At 43.1% G+C, this 21523-nt stretch overlaps 1 long non-coding RNA gene across 1 annotated transcript, besides 5 other annotated features; it reads left to right on the forward strand.

Moving 5' to 3' along the window:
- Positions 3631-3820: an enhancer, noted in NCBI's record as "active region_7673". NCBI's record gives its function as "activates an Ori minimal core promoter by ATAC-STARR-seq in GM12878 lymphoblastoid cells {active_cell/tissue: GM12878}" and the evidence as "EXISTENCE:reporter gene assay evidence [ECO:0000049][PMID:35858748]".
- Positions 8173-9372: an enhancer, noted in NCBI's record as "MED14-independent group 3 enhancer chr13:44880060-44881259 (GRCh37/hg19 assembly coordinates)". NCBI's record gives its function as "activates an origin of replication core promoter dependent on BRD2, BRD4, P300/CBP and CDK7 cofactors, and independent of MED14, by STARR-seq in HCT116 cells {active_cell/tissue: HCT116}" and the evidence as "EXISTENCE:reporter gene assay evidence [ECO:0000049][PMID:35650434]".
- Positions 8173-9571: a biological region, named in NCBI's record as "MED14-independent group 3 enhancer GRCh37_chr13:44880060-44881259".
- Positions 8948-9571: an enhancer, noted in NCBI's record as "NANOG-H3K27ac hESC enhancer chr13:44880835-44881458 (GRCh37/hg19 assembly coordinates)". NCBI's record gives its function as "activates a minimal SCP1, AML or CMV promoter by ChIP-STARR-seq in naive H9 embryonic stem cells {active_cell/tissue: H9 hESC(naive)}" and the evidence as "EXISTENCE:reporter gene assay evidence [ECO:0000049][PMID:30033119]".
- On the forward strand, positions 13491-20517 carry LOC107984552 (uncharacterized). Its single transcript, XR_001749973.2, has 3 exons — positions 13491-14340; positions 18897-18970; positions 19482-20517. It is a non-coding gene; the product is annotated as an uncharacterized LOC107984552 (long non-coding RNA).
- Positions 14217-15416: an enhancer, noted in NCBI's record as "CDK7 strongly-dependent group 2 enhancer chr13:44886104-44887303 (GRCh37/hg19 assembly coordinates)". NCBI's record gives its function as "activates an origin of replication core promoter dependent on BRD2, BRD4, P300/CBP, MED14 and CDK7 cofactors, with strong dependence on CDK7, by STARR-seq in HCT116 cells {active_cell/tissue: HCT116}" and the evidence as "EXISTENCE:reporter gene assay evidence [ECO:0000049][PMID:35650434]".
- Positions 20518-21523: the final 1006 nt, after the last annotated feature.

Genomic DNA, 21523 nt, shown 5'->3' on the forward strand with positions numbered 1-21523 from the left:
CGTTTATTCAGAATACTATTCAATAGCAAAATACCTAACATTACCTAACTATCCACAATAAGGAAATAATTAGTCACAAATAATATTTAAACACGATGGGCTATGTTTCAACAATCAAAATGAATGCTTCTGAAGACTAAACACAGAATCTATCATCTTCAGTGCTGCCAGAGTGTTCCTTTAAGAACCAAATCTGTTCCTGTTGCTACCCTTATCAAAGTTATTCTATGGTTAAAAATTTAGTAGGCAGAGCATGGTGGCTCATGCCTGTAATCCTAGCATTTTAGGAGGTTAAGGTGGGAGCTTTGTTTGAGGACAAAACTTCAAGACCAGCCTGGGCAACACAGCAAGACCCTGTCTCTATAAAAAACAAGATCAATTATATTAGCCAGGTATGGTGGTGCTCACCTGCAGTCCTAGCTATTTAGGAGGCTGAGGTAGGAGGATTGCTTGAGCCCAGGAGTTTGAGGCTGCAGTGAGCTATGATTGTGCCACTGCAATCCAGCCTAGGTGATAGAGCAACACTATGTCTCAAAAAAAAAAGTTAGAAGTGGGATTTCTGGGTCATATGGTGAGTATATGAATATATATAGGAAACTGCCAAACTGTTTTCCAAAGTGGGTGTACTATTTTGTTTTCCCAGTAGCAGTATATGATAGCCCAAGTTCCTCCCCGCCCTTACCAGCATTTGTTATGGTCTGTCTTTGTAATTTTAGCCATGCTAATAGGAATGTACTAGTCTCCCATTGTAGTTTCAATTTGCATTTCTTGATGACTAATGATGTTGGACATCTTTTCATGTGCTTATTGGATATTTGTATAGTTATTTACTCAAGATAAATAATAACTCATGGCAAAAAGATTTCACATCCACATACCAAAAATAATTTGTACATGAATGATCAGAGTAACTTTAGAATAGTCCAAAACTGGAACCTCCAATAGCCATCAATAGATGAATGGATAAACCAGTTGTGATATACAACAGAATACTACTCAGCAATAAAAAGGAATGAACCTCTGACACAGCCAACAGTATGGATGGATTTCCAAAACATTATACTGAGTAAAAGCAGCCAGATATAAAAGAGAACATACTGTATGATTCTATTGATATGAAACTCTAGCATAAGCAGAAATAATCTATTGTGACTGGAAGCAGGTAAGTGGTTGTCTGGATTTGGGAGTTAGGCAAAGTGTTACCCAGAAAGGGGCTCAAGAAATTTTGGAGGAGATAAGAATGTTCTATTTACCACACAGGTAAATGTGTCCATCAAAACTCATCAAGCTGCACACTTAAAATAAGTGCATTTTATTGCATGTAAAAATAACTCAATGAAGTTGATTTAAAACAAATATTCAATTGTTTCTCACTACTTTAGAAAAAAGTTTTAAAAAGTTAGTATGATATACAACGTCTTCAATGATATGACCCCTTCTATCTCTCTGACTTTTTCTTTCTAGGCCTCCGCCTGGTTTGCTCCAGTCATACTCTAATGCCTACTCCCTCCGCATCATCACACTTTCTCGTGTCTCTATATCTTTATAAATGCAATTCCCACTTCCTGGAATCTGAACCCTACCCCCTGCCTCCTTGTAATTTGACTCACTCCTACTCATCCTTCAAGGTCAACTCAAGACTGCCTGGACTTTTCTCCAAGGCTGGATCCAGCACCTCTCTTGTGTGTCCTCAGACCATCCTGTATAGCTCTCTAGTCTGATGTTTTCACACTCTGGTACCAAAGTTAATATTCTTTCTTAGGCTCTGAGCATCTTGAAACCAAGGTCTGTCTATGTTCTTAATTCCTAGCACAAAGTTTGGTACATGTTGCTTAGTATGTGTAGAATGGATAGATGAATGACTGAATGAATCAACTAATGCCCTGTCTACTCAGAAGGATATAATGAGAATCAAGTGACATAAGGGTGTGACTCCCTGCACTCTATTATTTGGGTGTTTGATTTGGCCCCATAATATGGTGGTGTGGCCAAGACTATGCCCTCTGAACCTCCACCTCCATCCCTGGGTACAGCCAGTAAACAGAACTTTGCAAATTCCTATCTTGGAATCACAATGACAAACGCTCCAAGATGGCAGGAGCCTCTGAGCACCTTGAGAGGCAATCAAGAGAAGCCTGTCTCAGCAGACTCACCTCACTGCCAGGTGGTGGCTGCACACTCTCTGTGGGGTATCGCACCTCAAACCACAGCTCTGCAATCCTACAATATCTTTCACCATCCCACATAGTATTTGTTAATTGAATCCTGTAATTTAATTGCATTCGCATTTCTAAGCACACTTGTTTTCATAGAACGTATACTCTTTAGCACCTGAAGATTCTGACAAGTAAATGTCATCCATGCCTGTCCAGGTAGATACGAGGTAGCGTTGCCCTCACTCCCAGACACTCCCCTGTCCATTACTTAACCACGTGGAGTTGGAGTAGCCGTTTTCTATGATTATGATCCATTTTCTTCACCCTTGTTGGAGCTTTCATAAGAATCAGCAGGAACTCTGCAAACCCTCCTCCCTGTCACTACCTCACCACTTCACCAACATGTCCCCAGCCTCCAGTTCCATCCCATCAATGCCATTTCTGGCACATATGCCCACTGGATCCACCCAGTGACAACCACCTGCATGCCATTTTCTTGAATGAAAGGAATGAAGGCATTTTCTACTCTATCATCATTCCTTGACCTTCACCTGTTTTGGTTTTTAAAGTGTTTTCTCTTCTGCATTAGCCGGAGTTCATTAGAGAGCCGTCCAGCCTCCATACCTGGAGTTGGTCACTGATGGCCTTTTTTACTGTCTGCCACTGAAGGTTAGTCTGGTCAAATGATCTTCAGTGAAGAGCATTCAACAAGTCAGTGCTCAAAAGCAAGGGGGTGAATCTTTGGAGGAGAGACTGGGGAAGACCGATGAGAGGGGAGAATTAATGGTTAAATCTACAGTAGGGTTTCAAATTCTTTTTTCAAGTTTAGGGGAAGGATTCCTCTGTTAATTCATTTATTCATTCTTACAATCTGGTTAGACCTATGGCCTCCCAGAAAACAGCTAAATTAGCCTCTTCTCTAATGTAGGCCCAGGGCTCTGGCTCTATCGGGGATTCCAAAGCCCCTCAACACCACCCCTGAGCTTACCCTGGAGAGTAATGTTTTCCGGGCATTCACATCAACTGAGAGCTTAAATATGGTTCTTCTGGGAGAGGGCCAGGAGACGGGATGGCCATTATCAGCAATCTGCTCTCTGCGGAGTCTGAGCCATGTGAACAAACAACCTCACACACTACGAGTGGGGAGAGAAGCGATTGGAATGTTCACTCCTATTTTCCTAAAATATCCAGTGAACCATGAACCTAAACTCTACACCTGAGGCAAACCGGGAGTTGCTATTTTAACACAGCACAGCTTAGAAAACAATCCACACATGTTCTGTGACTTGGGCCAGCCCCAGAGGGATTCCTGGCAGCATTGCATGGGTGACTAATATTCACAGCCTCTCTGAGGGTGAAGGGTATGCTATTCACCTGTCTGCCACCACTCACTTCAATATGCTTTGCCATGTGGGATCTGAGAGGAGTCTTTTTCTGGGAGTTTTAAATATCTTTTCAATGGGGCTTTTAAGATACTTATAAGTACTGTTTTCTGATCTAGGATCGCTCCACCTAGTCTATTGGCATATCTCTTATACAGGAGGACAAGAGAGTGATGAAAAATGAGACAGGAAATGCACCCATTTATTTCGCAAACATCTGCGTTGGGCCATTGGGGAATACCAAGATGACTCAGCCACAGTTGAAGGAGGGCAGATATGAAAACAAATCATTAAAATAATGTAGTCAAATGCTAAATAAGGTTTGTACCAAAGGCTGTGGGAACACAAAGAAGGGATCATTAATTTTGTCAGAGGCAGTCAAGGAAGACTTTGTAGAGAGTGACCTCTGAGTTGTACTTTAACAGCTGTGTTGGAAAGTTCAGGTGAGAGAGGAAAGGAACGGTGTTCAAGACAGAGGGAACAGCAGCCGCAAAGATGTGGAAGCTTGAAGACCCCTGAAAACTTTGCTGAGTTTGGGCCACAGGTTACACGGGAGCAAATGGGGCAGGTATGAGGCTGACACCGTGGGTTGGGGTGAGATATGAAGGCATGTGGTCAGGTTAAAGGGTCCAGACTTAATTCATTGGGCAATTGAGAAAAAACAGAGGACTTGGAGCATAGGTGTGAAACATCAGATTTTAGAAAGACATATCAGTAGACAATCACTGTATTTCAGGCTTTAGTGATTCCTCACTTGGTCCATGATACAAGCCTCCATGTCACACTTTGCTTGCTGCTTTGTATATCTGCTCAGCTGAGGCATTTTTACATAACCGTATGTTAAAAGGGTCATTATTCCCACTGTACAGTTGGCGAAAGAGAATCTCAGGGAGCTTAAAAAGAATACCCTTTGGCAAAGCCAAGATTCACACCGAAGTCTGTTGGATCACCAAGTCTGTGTTTCATTATACTGAATTAGAAGATAATAACAACGAGAAAGAAAAAAATGGTGATTGGCAGCCCTGGCTGCACATTAGTTTCTCCTTGGGAGCTTTTTTAAATCATGATGTCCAGGCTGCACCCTAGACTGATTAAACCAGAATACGTAGGAGTGGAACCCAGACATCAGGATTTGCTTAAAGCTCCTCAGGTGACTTTAGTGTGCAGCCAAGTTTGAGAATGACTAAGAGATGTTTCAAAGGAAGACTTGGTAATAGTTGGCTAGCAAGCGGGAAGACCGAGAGAGAAGGAGGAAAGAGGTGACTTTAAGATTTTTAACTTGGATGAAGGCAGAAAGGGATGTGAGTGGGGAAATGAGGAGTTTATTCTCACAGTCATTTACTTTGCCATCATAGTGTGACATCCAGGTGGAAATACCCAATAGATGCCTTGGCAAAGTGAACCACGGGCTTCAGAGGAGTCAAGGCTATATCAAGGTCAACACCTCATCCAGTGCTGTGCTGGGGGCAGCTCACACCAGCTCCAGGGAAGCAACTATTAAATATTCTGAAATTTTGCAAGCCAGTTGTTAACACAGCCATTAATAAAAATTAAATCAAAAGAATTAAATAAATTATATTTTTGAAAATGTAATAAACTCTCAAAACTCATTACTTCTCATTACTACACTTTAGTATTGCCTGTGCTCTTGAAGTTGTTTATGTATACTTTATCTGTGTGGTGGGAAAGCCATATAATGGTAGCTTACTGTAGGGGATCTTTGCCAACTCTGCAATCACTCATGTTGATAGCTTGAAACTGGCCATGGTAAGGAGCATTTACATCATGAAAACTGGCAAATACTACAAAATAAGGCCCCCGTCATCCCCCACAAAGAGCGAGTTGTTAAAACATTTACCAGCACACCATTGCCTCAAACCACATTAGGGACTATGCAGAGATGCCAGCGTATGAGTATGCATGGGGAACCTCATCAAGATAAAACAAAGACAGTAAGAGACAAGTTAAACTTCACAGATGGGGGTGGCCGGTGGTGTAAGGAAAAAAAAAAAAGACTTCACAGATGGGGGAAAAAAACTGATGCTAGAAACAGTTTTCCCCTTGACTAATATTTCCCAAAACACAAGCTTTTTGCAATACTCAGGTCCTTTGGGATTGCTACTATTCCAAATAAACCTGTTTTATTTAGCTCCGTGAATAAGGCCCTTCTAGCCAGAGAAGATATATTTTATATGCACACATAAAAATACTCTGTGTTTATGTAACACTTTCCTTATAAGGAGCTCACAGCAATTCCACATACTCTCTTTATTCCTATGAACACCCTGGGGAGGTAGCTAGGTGGTAGAGGAAATAGGAAGGAATGAACAAAAAAAAGAGTTGAATTAGAAATCATGGCATTGCCTTGCCTCAGTACCATAAACAAGCATAGGAAAGCCTAACTTCAGGACTATAAAGTGTCTTGCTCAAGAAGTTTCTAGAATTGGACTCCCATCACTGGCATTTTTCCATAGGCATGGCCTAGAAGCAGGGAAAACCTCCCATTAGCTACCTTTTTTTTGCATTCCCTTGCTATTTTGGCTTTAGCCCCTAACTTGGGCCGGAGCTGGAGTTTGCAGTCCAAGCCTGTCTGACTCCACAGCCTCTGGGAGGTCACCAAATGGCCAGCGGCAGGAAAGGAGATGGGCCTGCCAAGAAGCAGCAGGGACCTATGTTAGGGCTCATTCCCATGTGACTCCAGTGGTCCCTGATGATCATTCCTGGGCTCCTCGCCAGTGACACCACTGTCCCCTCTGCACCTGCTGCATCATCCCCCTGGGGATCCAAATGGCCTCTCTGAATGTCCTTGGCAATTCCTCCTGAGGCTCTGGACAATTTCAAATCAGTCCTTTGGAATACAAGTCAGCTTAACTTTAATGCTTGGTATCCTCCCCATTTACCCAAGATTTGTCTGTGCTGCAGAGCAGAAGGTACACGGCTGCTGATAATGAAAGTTGGGGGAAAGAATTAACTGCGTTGTGTGTGTGTGTGTGTGTACATGTGCATGCATGTGCATATATGTGTGTCAAAAACAGTCAAACAGAAAGGCAAAGTGGCAGAAACAAAGAAACAGAGGCAGAAAAACAGAGAGGCCAAGAGTTACAGAGGCTGTGGGAATTCCTGAACCAAGACAATCTCTTGTTCACAGTGGTTTTGTTTCTAAGAATTTCATTGTTTGTTTTTAACTGCTAGAAGGGTAGACTTTCAAGTGAAAAATACCCTGGGCTCCACCGAAGCCAGCCCTGCACATTTGTGTGGTTGTGTGCCCCCTTAACAACTTCTCTGAAGACAACCCTCAGGGGGATGCTATCGCAAACAGCATTGCCTTCAGGAGCACTTGTCTCTGGCCAAATATTGATGTAGGATTTTTCTTCTTGGTCACTTTGCCAGCCCCGGGCCTCACTCAGCCATGCTGGCGTTCCCCAGCTCACCTGGGTTATACCTTGTACCCACATTCGGTGATTCCCAAGCTCTTGTACCACACCCAGGAGGAATGAAGATACACTGGACATTGAAGGGTGAGGAGGGCAGAGAATAATTTTATTGAGTGATGAAAACGGCTTTCAGCAGAGAGAGGACACGGGGTTGTTCCCCCTACCCAAAGGCAGGAACATTCCCCATGTGGCTGGGCTGGTGTCTTTTATGTCCATAGGGTTTTATGGACTCAGAATGGGGAGTGTGTGCTGATTGGTTTGTGAGTATGCAAAAAAGATTAAAGCAAAGACATCACTCAAAGGTGGGCCCAACAGTATAGAAAACCAATTAGGAAAGAGTAGGTATATGTAAAATAGGTGAAGTGCGAGGACCAATCAGAGGAAAGCACGCCAAATATAAATTCTCAATCCAGCCCAAGGATTTAACTTGCAACTTGACTTTCAGGCTTTAAACTCTTCAGCTTGGAGGTGAGGTTTCACCAGGGACCTGCCCCTATCTACCTAGGCATTTGGCTGCCTCCTGTCGCTATCAATATCACGGCATACTCGGATTGTCAGACCCAGCCAAGCCTGAGGGAGACTCACCCCCACTCGCACCTCCAATCTCAACAAGTCTTCTTAATTGCCACAAAGATGGCCTCAGGTGTCCTGCTGGTGCCCACCTGGGCTTTCCTCAGCAAGTGGGGGAGTTCTGAGATGCTTCCTAAAGGCCCTCAGACTGAGCTTGAGTGCCTTTGAAGCAGTCAGGGATCCACACTAGACAACCAAAACAAACAAGTCAATTAAGTGGAAAGTCACTCCCTTCGGAGGCAGGAGACAGGCTGTAATCTTCCTAATCCCATCTAACTTCAGTAGATCTGTGCTCCTCTGTGAGATGCCAGGGTGTGAGTAGTCACAGTTATTCACTCAACAATCAATTCTGAGCCCCTGCTGAATGGCAAGGACTGCCCTGGGCACTGAGGACTCAATGGCTATAAAAACAAAGAGCAAAATGGCCAACATGGACCCAGGAATAGTGGGCTTATAGGAGATGCTCTCTGATGTCCCTTCTCATCTAATATTCTCTAAATAATTCCTAAGTGGCAGGAGGGCTTCCCTACATCTCCCCAGCTAATGAATTCGGCCGCTACTGAGTAAGAGATCGGTTTGTTTTCTTTACATTTGAGTTCTCAAACTTAACTACTTTGCACTTGCAGTGTGGGTGTCTGAAATGTTAATTGAGCCTCACCACAGCCCCTGGAAAGAGGTAAGTGTTGCAACATCTGCCACAATTTAAAACACTTACTCAGGTGCCTGCTCAGTGCCTATGCACTAAGTCAAAGAGGCACAGGCCAGCTGTCCAGAAGCGGCCAGAAACGCTGGAACTCACCCACACAAAGGATAAACAAGCAGCTGAGCAAATTCTGATAGAATGGTAATGTCAAGCAAATAAAGAGAATGTAAATGAGGAACTGGTGAGGAGGCCACCCTTTGAGAAGATGGAGGTGAGAGGGGAAAGAGAGGAGTTAGCACACGCCAGGCAACGGAGTGGGGGTAATCACTCACTCTGTCTCTCTCCATCAGTCTGGGGTTGCCAGGGTCTTTGAATGGCAGAGAAAAGAGAGTGGAGAGAACTGGGATGGGGGGACACAGGGCCCTGGCCCTCAGTGACTGCTCCCCAAAGGCATTAATTAGATATCACTGCAAAATAGCAAAACCAGAGTAAAACCTCCCCCAGGACTTCACTCACACAATGACCAGGCTCTTTCACCAAGCCCTCCCAGGTCCCTCCCTCCCTGCTTTTACATCTTACATAAGGAGGCTTCTATTGTGCTAATATCCAAGGAAAAAAGTGACTAAGGGTGAGTGTGCGACTAAGGAAAATAAAGAAGGAAGAGAGCCTCCAAGGCTTGCCCCCACCCCCAGTTTCTTGGCTCACTCCACGATTCCGTCAGTTCGCAGGCTCTGACATAAAAGGCAGGAAGCTACACACGCTAAACAAAGCTCCTTAGATGTCAGGAAATTAACCTGGGAAATCGGAGCCAAGAGAGATTAAAGGCATTGCAGGCCGAGTTCAAAAACCTCTATGGCGTTACATCAAAAGCTGTTTTCTGGGCACCCCAGGCTCGGCTCTGCCAAACCGTACATCCCGAAAAACCTGGCCACAGGGCTGGCACGCCTGTGTGGTGTGCCTTTTCCCTGCCACAGACTGAAGCCTCACTCAGATCTACAGCTTTTGACTCTTCCTGTCATAGGAGTCTAAGCCCTGCCTGCCGTAGGCAAGTCTGCCCTGAGAAGAGCAGCTTGCTGCCCTGGATTCCTTATAAAGGAGGAAGATCGCACACCTAACCTCAGAGGGGGTCCAATGAGTGGCCCCAGGGAAAGGAAGAAAGTCCTTAAAAGGAGGAAGAGACCTGCTAGCTTCAGCTGCACTCATACACACACAAAAAAAAAGAGAAAGAAAGGAAGAAAGGAAGAGAAAGAAAGAAAGAAAGGAAGAGAAAGAAAGACAGAAAGAAAGAAAGAAAGAAAGAAAGAAAGAAAGAAAGAAAGAAGGAAAGAAGGAAGGAAGGAAGGAAAAAAGAAAAGAGAAAAGAAAAAGAAAAGAGAAGAAAAGAAAAGAAAAAAAAGAGAAAAAGAGAAAAGAAAAGAAGTGAGGCAGCCTGGGATCCCTGACCCTCCCAGCTAAGAAAACAAACCGCCTTGTGGAAGGTGAAAGGGTCAGAGCAGAACAAACCAGAGAATTGTGAGAATCATTGTTTATGTCCGCATCAATAATACTGTCTCTTTGAGTCTCAGTTTCATTATCTTTACAATGAACGTAGCTTCTAGCTAAGATATCCTGGAATTCTTGAACAATCTTAACATTTAAATGGAATGAAATTGTCAGCAGGCTTTGTACAACACTCGTTGTATCTCCAGCAGTGAGTGCTAACCCCCTCTTACAGAGGAGAAAACTGAGGCCCCATGTCACATATCTGGTAGAGAGAAGAGCCCATAATGAACTAGTGGTTCCTGGCCCCGGTGATTCCGGGCCCAGTGCTCTAGGAGGGCAATGGTGGAACAATAGTATTGTTCCTAAACTGCATCAAAGGACATTTGCAAGAATAAGCTCAAAGTGTTGCTATTCCTGTTTTTTTTTTTTTTTAATTGGAAAGCAAGTGAAGGTCAGAAGGGAGCCATTTATTGTACCAGCCTTTTGGGAAATGAAACACTCAGATATATAAGCCCCATGGTGGCCTCATAAAGAGTGCAAAAATCTCTTCTCAAGTCTATAAAAGTGAAGTTAGTTCTATTAACTGGAAAGGAAATCTGTGAGAGAATGTGACTCATTTGTTCTCCACCCATAATACCTTCAAGAACCTGCCCTGTCCCTAATCTGAGTGGGGTGGCTCCCAGAGGCCACATGATGCCCCTCCAGGGCTGATGGGGCCACAGTCACCCGGCTGAGAGAAAATCAGAGTCACTCTTCCACAGGAATTCTACTGAGACTTAGAGAGTACAGCCAAGGAATCTGTGAGCCTGAATCCATGCAACGGCTGTATTAGTAAAAGCTCCTCCGAGGAACACAGTCAATAGGATGTAGTTCATTGTGTATATATATATATGATATAAATATGCATCATGTGTGTGTGGGAGGGGGAGAGAGAGAGAGAGAGAGAAATTTTTTATTAAGAATTGATTCACATGCTTATGGAGGTTGGCTACCAAGTCCCAAGATCTGCAGGTGGCAAGCTGGAGACCCAGGAGAGACCTACCCGAAATCCAAAGGCAGGAAAAAAGGCAATGGCTGACAGGCTAGGGGAAGTCTCTCTTCCTCAGGGGAGGGTCAGCCTGTTTGTTCTATGCAGAGCTTCAACTGATGGGATGAGGCCCACCCGCGTTAGGAAGGACCATCTTCTTCACCCAGCCTGCACATTCACATGTTCCTCTCTTCCAGAAACACCCTCACAGACACCTACAGAATAATGTTGACCAACTCTCTGGGTACCCCATGGCTCAGTCAAGTTGACACATAAAATTAACCATCATCATCACATAGACAGGGGCCAGGTCAGCACAGCCACAGCAGCAAGGCAGAAGGAGGCAAGACTGAGTGAGGAGGCTGCAGGGTTGCTGGGAAAGCTAGCTTCAAGAGAGGAACATGGGACATTCTCAGTGAGAAATGGAGATGAGAGACAGACAGGGGTACCAGAGACTGGGAGCCTTTCCAGTGCACAAGATTCCCCTTTATCCTTCCACTCCCCAGTTCTAAACTGAACTGCTTTGAGTGGGTTTCTCTTTTGGATAACTGAACAACCTCTGATTAGAACAAGAACATCGTGGATCTCCTTGAATTTTATTCTCTAACTTTAGCCCAATTCTCTAATTTTAGACCAGCCATTTATCAAGCAATAAACTATACTGCATGTCATGTACTGCCAGGTTAAATACCACATACTCTTCGTTCTTAGATCATTTACATTTATGGTTTTGACTTCTTGCAAGCAACCACGTGCTTAAAATATTTCCATGAGGGTTTGATAAAGTATTTTGATCTGTAAGGCTTAGGTTTAATGAGTGAGCTACTCAATTCCTGAGGGGTCCCATCCATCTGCCCAGCATCCACATCATCATGCCTTTTTTGTTTTCTACTCACTGTTCTTTCAGCATTTTCTGGGGGATGTCAAATGTTAAGAGGTTTTCCTTAATTTGAGAATGTGTGACGGCCCAGTCTGAATGCCTTGCAAAAAGCATAGGTCTACTATACAATGTTACTGACATAACTTTTAGAAATCTCTGTCTCTTCTCCTATGAGCTCTTTGAAGGACATGACCCATGCCTTACACAATTTTGTGGCCCTTATACCTTGAATACAGTACCTGGGACCTCATAGGCAAGCAATGCATTTTTTGGTTAATTCTCTCAAATAGTTCTCATAAAAAGCCCACCAAGTAGATCACATTATTCCCTGTTGCATTAATGTGTTTAAACTAAGCGATGCTACAACAATGTACAACCCCAAAAATCTAAGCATTTGCCTCAACAAAGGTTTGTTTCTCACTCATGTCACACATGTATGATGGGTCAGCTACAGCCCTTGTCCATGCCTTCTTTGCTCCAGGACTCAGTAACAGAGAGAAATGGAGATAGCAGAACCACAATGTCTCTTAAAGCATCTATACAATAGTGGCACAATTCCTCATACTCACTTTTGCCAGCCAAAGTAAATCTCACAGCCAAGCCTGACGTCAATAGGGCAGGGATATATAGTCCTTCGCCAGCAGGAGGGAGGGGTGCCAGAAATCACATGGCCACACCTAGTACAATGCGACAAGGATGCATAATCTTCCCCCAGAGACAGCAAAATGAGAGTGCTAGTACTACACAGCACACCGTCTCCTAAAGAAACTGAGGGGAAGCAATCCGCCTGATCAAGTAGCTCATTAGTGGCAGAATCAGCCTTTAAACATCGTCAGACTCCAGGTTTGAGGATTCCTTCCAGCACACCACAGCTGTTTCTAGGTCTCACTCTGGGACAGAGGCACCTGCCCTGATCCACGCTTTCTGCCACTCTCCAGGAATATTCACGTCAAGATGTCCCACTCAAACATTTGGCCCTTGAATGTTTTATTCATAAGGATCATATGTCCAAAGGAATCTAAGCAAGCCAAGTCAGACAAAATTAACAAGCGTAAATTAAGGAATGTAATAGAGCCAACATTGAAATTCTCAGTAGATGGAGTCATTTAAAACATTTTTTTAGTTTAACCAGACTGAAGATCAAAAGGGGGTTGGTGGCACCTGAGAAGAACAAGAAGCTGTCACCACCCCTTGCCCCGGGAGCAGAAGAGAGATGAATGACAGCGCTGTCTGCTTTCAGCACTTCAGCGTGGCGTCAGCTGTGTCTCTCTGGCCATTGGTCAATTGCATCCTGCAGTAGCTGGAGTGAGGGATCTGGGGAGGACAGGGACTAATGCCCAGGAAAAGCCTGGCACCAATCATTTCAAAAGGGTCTTAACCATGACCTGTTCAGCATTTCCAGAGTTAATTAGTCCCATCACGACGAACATCACCCAGTCCCAAATGGGCACCCTGGTTGCCTGTGGTAAGTGACTTATTTATTTGCCTCTCTCTGGCCAGCAAGTAGCTTTGTTCAAGAAAAAAAAAAAAAAAAAAAAAAAACCTGACCACATACAGATCCTCAATCTAGAAAAGAAATCAGAATTCACTGTTTTTTCTGAATCACTTAATTTCCCTTAAGTTGAATAGATGACATGTTTGGCCTTCAGACGGTGTGGATTATGAAAAGTCAAGCACTCTAACACTTGGCAGCAGAGGCTTCATGGAATACCTACTCCCCACCTCTGCCAATAACATTTTTAAGGAGATTCGGTTTGATTAAACTATACAAGGTAAATAATGAATCCAGCCTGCCCAGGATATATCAGGTTGCATAGTGTGATGAAACACATACCATCCTGAATGTTCTTCCAAAAGAACATGTACAGAAAATGCTGTCCTTCTGCCAGAATACAGGCTCCTTGCCAACCCCCACCACTCTCCACCTTGAGACCAAACACTCAGCAAGCTGAAGCTTGCAGGCCACGGTGACTGGCTCCATGCTGCCTTGGGAAGCCCTACATGACCTCTACATGGTCCTTCTTCAGTATGTGAAGTACAGAGGCAACACCAGGACATTTTGAAGGGCAAAAGAAGGTTCAATGGGGCAATTTCCAAGGCATCTTGCTCCACTGCTGGTAAGCAATTAGCAGGCTTTCTACAGGGACTTCTCAAAAGAGGATCCAGAAGGCAGGCTCAGCATTGCAGCCTGGCTGCAGGCCACAGTGTGGCAGACGCATGTATTCATGGGCATGTCAAATACATCACTTCAATACGAAATTCATAGGCCCAACATTCATCTGCGAGATTGAACACTGGGTAGCTCAAAAGCTAGTCTTCTGAAAGCATCCTACAAAACACCCGAAGTTGCCGTTCCAGAATTGCTATAATTTCACGACTGTGCAAGCTGTACTAGTAGTACACAGGCAAAGGGATAGAAAAAAGATTATATTAATGCTCAAGGGGGAAAAGCAAGATTATAAAGGACTTAGCAGAGCTATGTTCTGATAATAAACCAAGAGCATTTAGGACCCAACCTAGAAAAAAATGGATTTACAGCCGAAGTCTTTCCTGTTTGGGGCTACAGCATCATTCTGTCATTCTAACCACATTTATCCTGAACCTCCCCCCACCACCCGCTGCCCATGTGCTGGCCACCGTGCTGGGATCAACAAAACTGAATGAGACACAGGACCTGATACTGGGGAGCTGACCATCTAGCAGGTGACGTATGGATGGATGAAGCATCTTAGGACATCTAAAGAAAGAGATCACTCCTCCATACTGGTAAGTCCACAGACAGCTTTACGGAGACATTTGAGTAAAGTCCTAAAAAGGGGCAGGGATGCAGCCATGTGCAATGGGAAGAAAATAATTCATCAGCTGTGACCATGAATGTAGATAGAGATGTTTGGGCCTCATCCAGATCCCCTCTCTGCCCTGTGGGGCTCCCATCTCCTGGCTGCTGAGAATTTGGTTGTTCTCTACCCACAGCTGCTCCCCTTTTCTGGAGGTTTGCCCTTGGCTGACCAGAGCACCTCAGCGGGGAGGTTAACCGCACTCTGCCTCTGAGGATGGCCAACAGCCAGTGATGGCACAAAGGGCCAGCCCCCTGGCCTCAAGACAGGCACAATTCTGAAGTGGGCTCATGAAGAGACTACCCAATCCCCCCAGTGGACAGAGCTGAGGTTAATCTCCACCTGAGACCTGATCTTCGCTGAGTTCCTTCCCCTCTTCTATCTTGCTCCTCTCACTCCCTAGTCGATATTTCCTGAGAACACCTCTTCAGTAAAGCACACACATCCAAATCCTATCCAAGGCTTTGCTTCTAGGAGCCCATCCTAGAAGGCAGTAGGCCCCTGGCTTTCCCTCATTCAGCTGCACAGTTGCACTAACAAGGAATTCCTGAGGTGGCCTTCTAGCACCTCTGTAAGCCCCCTATCCTACTCCACCCTTACCCCTCTGCTTCACCCGAAACTGACCCCTCACTCTTTCCCCACCTCATGTCTTATTTTTGTTAGAAAAGCTTACTCCCCACTTACCCATTTCTTTCAAGATCTAACTCTAGTTTTGCTTATTCCAAGGTTTCCCATGCTAGACTCTACCCATGCCCCTTACGTGTGTATTTTTTAACCACTTAAGAGATGTGCCAAAGCATGTATCAATTTTTATTTTTCAGACAATTGAATCAGAACTTAGTCATCCAAATAGATGTTGCCACTTTGAAAATATTCATCTTGGGGGATTAATCACTTCCTTCAATGCAACCACTGCCCATCATAATTTAGGGATTCCTCTTTGTGGTTTGCCCTCAGTGTATGCATCACCCACTGTTGAACACGGTAGCCTACAGCAATGTCTCAGAGGTTTTAGAACATCATTCAGAACCATGACTGGTGATTGCAGGTTACTAAGAGCACATACATAGATATTTTGTAGTTCCACAATTTACACATCTCCAGCTGTCCCTTGTTGAGTGAAACCCTTTCTCTCATTATGCTGCTCTAAATCCAACCAATTCCAGTGATGGCAAATGGTTGCTCTGTGAAAGTGACTTTTCTTTCCTCTTTGAGACATTTGGATCCATGCCTGATGAGTAATGTAGGTACTGATTCATTCATTCAACAAATATTTATTGAACACTTTCCACATGGCAAGCCCTGTGCTACAAGTGAGGCTGTAAAATCAAATAAAACATGGTTTTTACTCACATGAGGTTTAGAGTCTATCTGAGGAAAATAACAAGTCAATTGACAATGTAGTATAGTTCAGTAAATGCTATAGAGAGATACACATGGGTCTACGGAAGAGAGAGGAGTAAAGGGAGGCTGGAGGAGCAGGGAAGCTTCTGGAGGCTATGTTTTAAAGGGTGATTCAGAGTTTTCTAGATAAAGAAGTTTGGTGGGGTCAATGAGTAGAGGGACTGCTGGTAGGAAGGCATAGATAGAATTCTGAAGCAGAGAAATATTTGAGACACTTCCCGTGAAGGGTGGATTTGGCAGAATGAGCATAGACAAGAGAGGTGGTCAGGCTACTGAGAGGCCAAGAAGGGTTTATCTCCAGAGGCACAGGAAAGCCACTGAGGGATCAGACTGGGGTAAAAACCAACCAACAAACCAAACCCATGTAGCGTGACTAACAACTAATGAGTCATTTTAATGTGTGTGCTCAGTACTTCTGCACATGTGCCATCCTGATGAATCCTTCAACAACTCTATGAGAGACACATGACTATCCTCACTTTCCAGAGGAGGAAACAGAGACTGGGAAAGTTTACTAACTTGCTTAAGATCACACAGGTAGTAAATAGCAGAGTTGGGATTCAAATCCTCGACTCCAAAGCTCAGGATGAGCCTCTAAAAGAAGTCCAGCAAAGGATACGAACAAATACGTCATGTTAAAGGAAAAACTTCAACCGCATTAAATTTAAAGGAGTTTAATTGAGCAATGAATGATTCATGAATCTGGTAGCCCCCAGAATCACAACCAATTCAGAGAGACTCCAGGGGTGCCTCGTAGTCAGAACACAAATTTATAGACCAAAAAAAGGGAAGTGACATACAGAAATCAAAGGTGACATACAGAAACAGTTGGATTGGTTACAACTCTGCATTTGCCTTACTTGAACACAGTTTGAACACTCAGCAGTGTATGAGTGGTTGAAGTATGGCTGCTAGGATTGGCCAAGACTCAGCTATTGTTACAGGTGCATACTCCTAAGTTAGGTTTTCAATCTTGTCTACCTATTAAATTGGTTGCAGTCTGTCCACAAGGACTCAAATATGGAATATATTCTCAGTCTATATTTAGTTTGCTTTAACAATCATTTAAAAGAGAACTTTAAATTCTACATAAATTTACAATGTTCAACTTAGGCACAAGTCAAAGCATTGGAAAGTAAAGCAATAATACTGAATCATTATATACCCATTTAACTAACAGAAAACCTTAGTCATTATGTGCAATGCTGTCTACTTTGCATCACTCGACTGGTATTAATATATTGATGGTCATATTGTAAATGGTCATACATCTTTTGGAAAACAATATAATAATATATACCAAAAGTCAACCCTCTTTTAAAATGTCCATCCTCTTTTACCCACCTCTAGGAATGTATCCCTAGAAAATATTTCAAAAGGAGACAAAAAGTTTATCATTGTAACATTATCTTGAGTAGTGCTAAACTGAAAACAATTTAAATGTAGAGTGGTAGTACAATGGTTTGGTAAATGATCATACAACAAATCAATGGAATATTGTGTAGCCATTTAATATGATCTTTATGGGGATTATGTAACACCATGGGAAAATATTTATAAGAAGTAAACTGTCACGTGAAAAGATAGAATACAGTACACTATTGATATTCACAAGGTGTATAGCCTAATATCTCTGCAAATTCCCAAATAAGTGGAAACCATTGTAGCATACAATTTTCCCTTTAAAATGCAATAGCTAAAAATGTTAAGTAACCCCTCAAGACTCTTAAGGAGTCTATAAACTCAGGATTTGCTTATAAAGCTATAAAAATAAATTCTGCCAATAAAATAAATTCTAGAATGCATTATATTACATCATTAGGCTACTTAACTAAATTTACCTAAATCTGCAAAGAAACAACGTCTTTATCACGTCATGAGAGTTCTTTGCAAGCTTCATATGAAAGCACAAAAGCTGTGTTGAAATGCTGGTCCCACCAATGGTGGGCTGGGCTTGTTTACTGACTGTGTGATTCTTACTTTCTTGCACACCAGCTTTTTGTGTGTGTGTGTTTTGAGACGGAGGCTCGCACGTTCGCTCAGGCTGGAGTGCAATGGTGCGATCTCAGTTAACTGCAACCTCCGCCTCCCGGGTTCAAGCGATTTTCCTGCCTCAGCCTCCCAAGTAGCTGTGATTACAGGTGCCCACCACCATGCCCAGCTAATTTTTTGTATTTTCACTATGTTGGCCAGGCTGGTCTTGAACTCCTGACCTCGTGATCTGCCCCCCTCAGCCTCCCAAAGTGTTGGGATTACAAGTGTGAGCCACCACACCCAGCCCATCAGCTTTAAAATCTAGCCATTTCCAAATCAAAGCCCTCAACATTACAAACCACTGTGATCTTTGAAGTCCTAGGCAAATAATTGAAATTGAGAATGTCAAGTTCAAGAATGCTTCCAATCTACTTCTATTCAGAAGTACATATGCGTTATGATTACAACAATTTGAAAATTTAGACATACAGCCATAGCTGTCCAGAAACATAAAAAACAAAGACAATTGTACTTGGGTGAAAGAAATCTAGGTAGTAGTTTTCTTTTAAAACATTTCTAAGTATTATGTATTTTTTTCACAATAAAATGCACACAAACAATTTATTACCCTGTTGTCATATTCTTGTAGGTTGAACCCCGTTGCCTTTAATCCATTGATATTTTATAGTTTGTAATGTATTTGCAGGGCTTTGGGGTTGCAACAAACGGGTAAAGCCTGGAGAATTAAGCAAGAACTGGCTATAGAAGTAACCACATTATACTTCCTATCCGTATCCCTTGACATTCAACCAGGGATGCCAAAATCAGTGGTGTCTTTGTACCCACATACACTGGTAAGATGCACTAGTACTTTGTTTTCAATGTGGGACCAAGGCTCATTCACTCAAATGACAAAACATGCCTATGATTTCTGTGACCTCACTGATTGATTCGACAGGAACTACAAGTTACATTCAGTGGTTTGATCCATGTGACACTAGGAGGTAGGAAAGAAGGGAGAGGCAGAAAGGACAGAAGGAGGGAAGGAATCATGTATTCATGCTAACATGCACTGCAAACCAGTTTTCTTTTTCTTGTTTTTCACAGATCCTAAAGTTGACCTCCAGATAACATTCTGTCACATGCATGTGCACCAGAGATGGGGAGAACACACAGAATGGGTAAGAGTAGCTCAGCCCACACATTAGTATGCAAAATAGTCAGAGGCAGTGTCTGATACTGTTCCAGGGGAGACTCAGTCATACAGGAACACTTAACTGAGAAAATGAATTATATTATTCAGCTTGGGCTGCCATTACAAAATACCATTGACTGGGTGGCTTAAACAACAGAAATGTATTTTCTCACAATTCAGGAGGCTACAAGTCCAAGATCAAGGTGCTAGCATGGTCAGGTCCTGGTGAGGGCTCCCTTCTTGGCTTGCAGACTGCTGCCTTCTCACTGTGTCCTCACATGGGGAAAAGAGAGAGAGCAAGCTCTCTGGTGTCTCTTCCTCTAAGCACACACATCCAACCGGATCAGGGTGCCACCCCTAGAACTTCATTTAACCTTAATTAATTTCTTAGAGGCCCTGTGTCCAAATATAGCCACACTGGGAATTAAAGCTTCAACATGAATTTGGCAGGGACACAAACGTTCAGTCCATAACATGTATGCTTTCTGTTTTTACAGGAAGAACCACAACTGTTTAGGTGCATGAATTCTACAATTTGTAAAAACTCATTGTTTTTCACCTAGTATATGTAAGAATTGAATAATAACACAGAGAAATAAATTCTAGCATTAAAGAATAAACCAGAAATCTCCTTAAAGGAACACAAGTAACAAAGCCTGGCAGGGGTGGGAAACAGCAGAAATTACCACATTTTGCTTGGATCTTGAAAATTGTGAATTCTCAGTGAAGTCCAATTTTCACTTTTTAATAATGGAGCTCTATAACATCTTAAAACTCTGGGTTTATGTATTTTTATTATCAACTCTATAAATTCAATAAAGAAGTGGAGTAAAGGTTCAGGACAAGAAGAAGGAGAAAAGAACAGTTAAAAATTTGGGAAATACTAGCACTTCATTCTTTACCAAGTTGTCACTCTATCACTGCAAGCGTGAGGATTGGTGAAAAGTATTAAGCAGACTAAGATTGCACCCCAGAGAGCCCAGGCTTATACAACCAGCACACTTCCCCCACTAACTGACATACTCAACTAATAACTACTGAATGTTGCCCATTGGCCAGCCGCATCCAACCCTTATCCCACTGCATCCTCAAATCTGCCACCTTACAGATGAAGAAATGGAAATGTAAACAAGTTAGGTGACTAAGAACAGAGTGTAATGAGCATCGTGGTTGACTCCCTGCCATTCATGCACATCATGCTAATATAAAGTAATCAGGCTACATGATCCCCAGCCAAGAATGAGTTCAAGAATATTCCTGGGACATATTTCTGCTGGAAGTCTCCCAGGGAAAGTTTCCCTTTCCTGAGAGCGGGCTCCCCAGTCAGAGATCTCTCTCTTCTGGTCTAGCAACAATGTGAATGCATTCTGCTCCCGAGGAGAATAACACCGAGGATGGCAAACAGGCAAGGGGGAAAGATGGCAAGCGTCCTTGATGACACCACTTAGCTGCCAACCCCACCAACCCACAGCTAGCCCAACTTCTGGACTTCGTGTTATGAGATAATAAATTTCCTAAGCATCTGTGCTGGGATGAGTCAGGTTCTCTTTCATTTTCATCAAAAGCATCTTGGCTGATACAAAAAGCCAGGATCCAAACCCAGGTCTGTGTGATTACCAAGAACCTACTCATTCCAAGAGTTTTCTAGTCTGTCTCTGGTATGCATAAAGTCCCGAAGGGTTTCCAAGTCAACAGCTGCAGTGGTCCTGGAGTCAGACAGACTTGGACTAAATCCCAGATCTGCCACTAATTAGCTGGGTGATTGTGGGCAAATTACCTCTCCTTTTTATGCCTGTTACCTCATCTGAAAAATGGGGATAATCATTGCACCTGCCACAAAGAGCTGTTTGAAGACCAAAGGAAATTTCCACACAGTCGGTGCTCAGTGATCATTAGTTTTCATGAGCAGGGGAACTGAATGATTTTTGGTGGCTAGATTCTTTTGATCAGAATCTTTGTAATGTTTTGAATAGAGTAACATTTACTTTCTCCTGACATATCACATCTATGCCAAAATAAAAATACAATGTGGCCAGGCGCGGTGGCTCACACCTGTAATCCCAGCACTTTGGGAGGCCGAGGTGGGTGGATCACCTGAGGTCAGGAGTTCGAGACCAGCCTGGCCAACATGGTGAAACCCCGTCTCCATTAAAAATACAAAAATTTGTTGGGCATGGTGGCAATCTGTAATCCCAGCTACTCAGGAGGCTGAGGCAGGAGAATCGCTTGAACCTGGGAGGCGGAGGTTGCAGTGAGCCGAGATTGTGCTATTGCACTCCAGCTGGGCAACAGAGCGAGGCTCCATCTCAAAAAAAAAAAAAATGTTTTCTTAATGTTTGGCCTTGTCTGAGCTTTTGGCTTTTTAATTAGAAAATGCCTCATTCCTTATTGAAAGAACACATCATTCAAAAAAATATTTGAAATGTCACCCATAGTATCATGCTACCTAATTAAACAATTTTTGTTTTTTGATATTACCTCTGGCATGTAAAATGCACATACCTACAATTATAGTGAACATACTGTTTTGCTTCCTATT

The sequence above is a fragment of the Homo sapiens genome, chromosome 13 (assembly GCF_000001405.40).
Source record: "Homo sapiens chromosome 13, GRCh38.p14 Primary Assembly".
NCBI classification, from domain to species: Eukaryota; Metazoa; Chordata; class Mammalia; order Primates; family Hominidae; genus Homo; species Homo sapiens.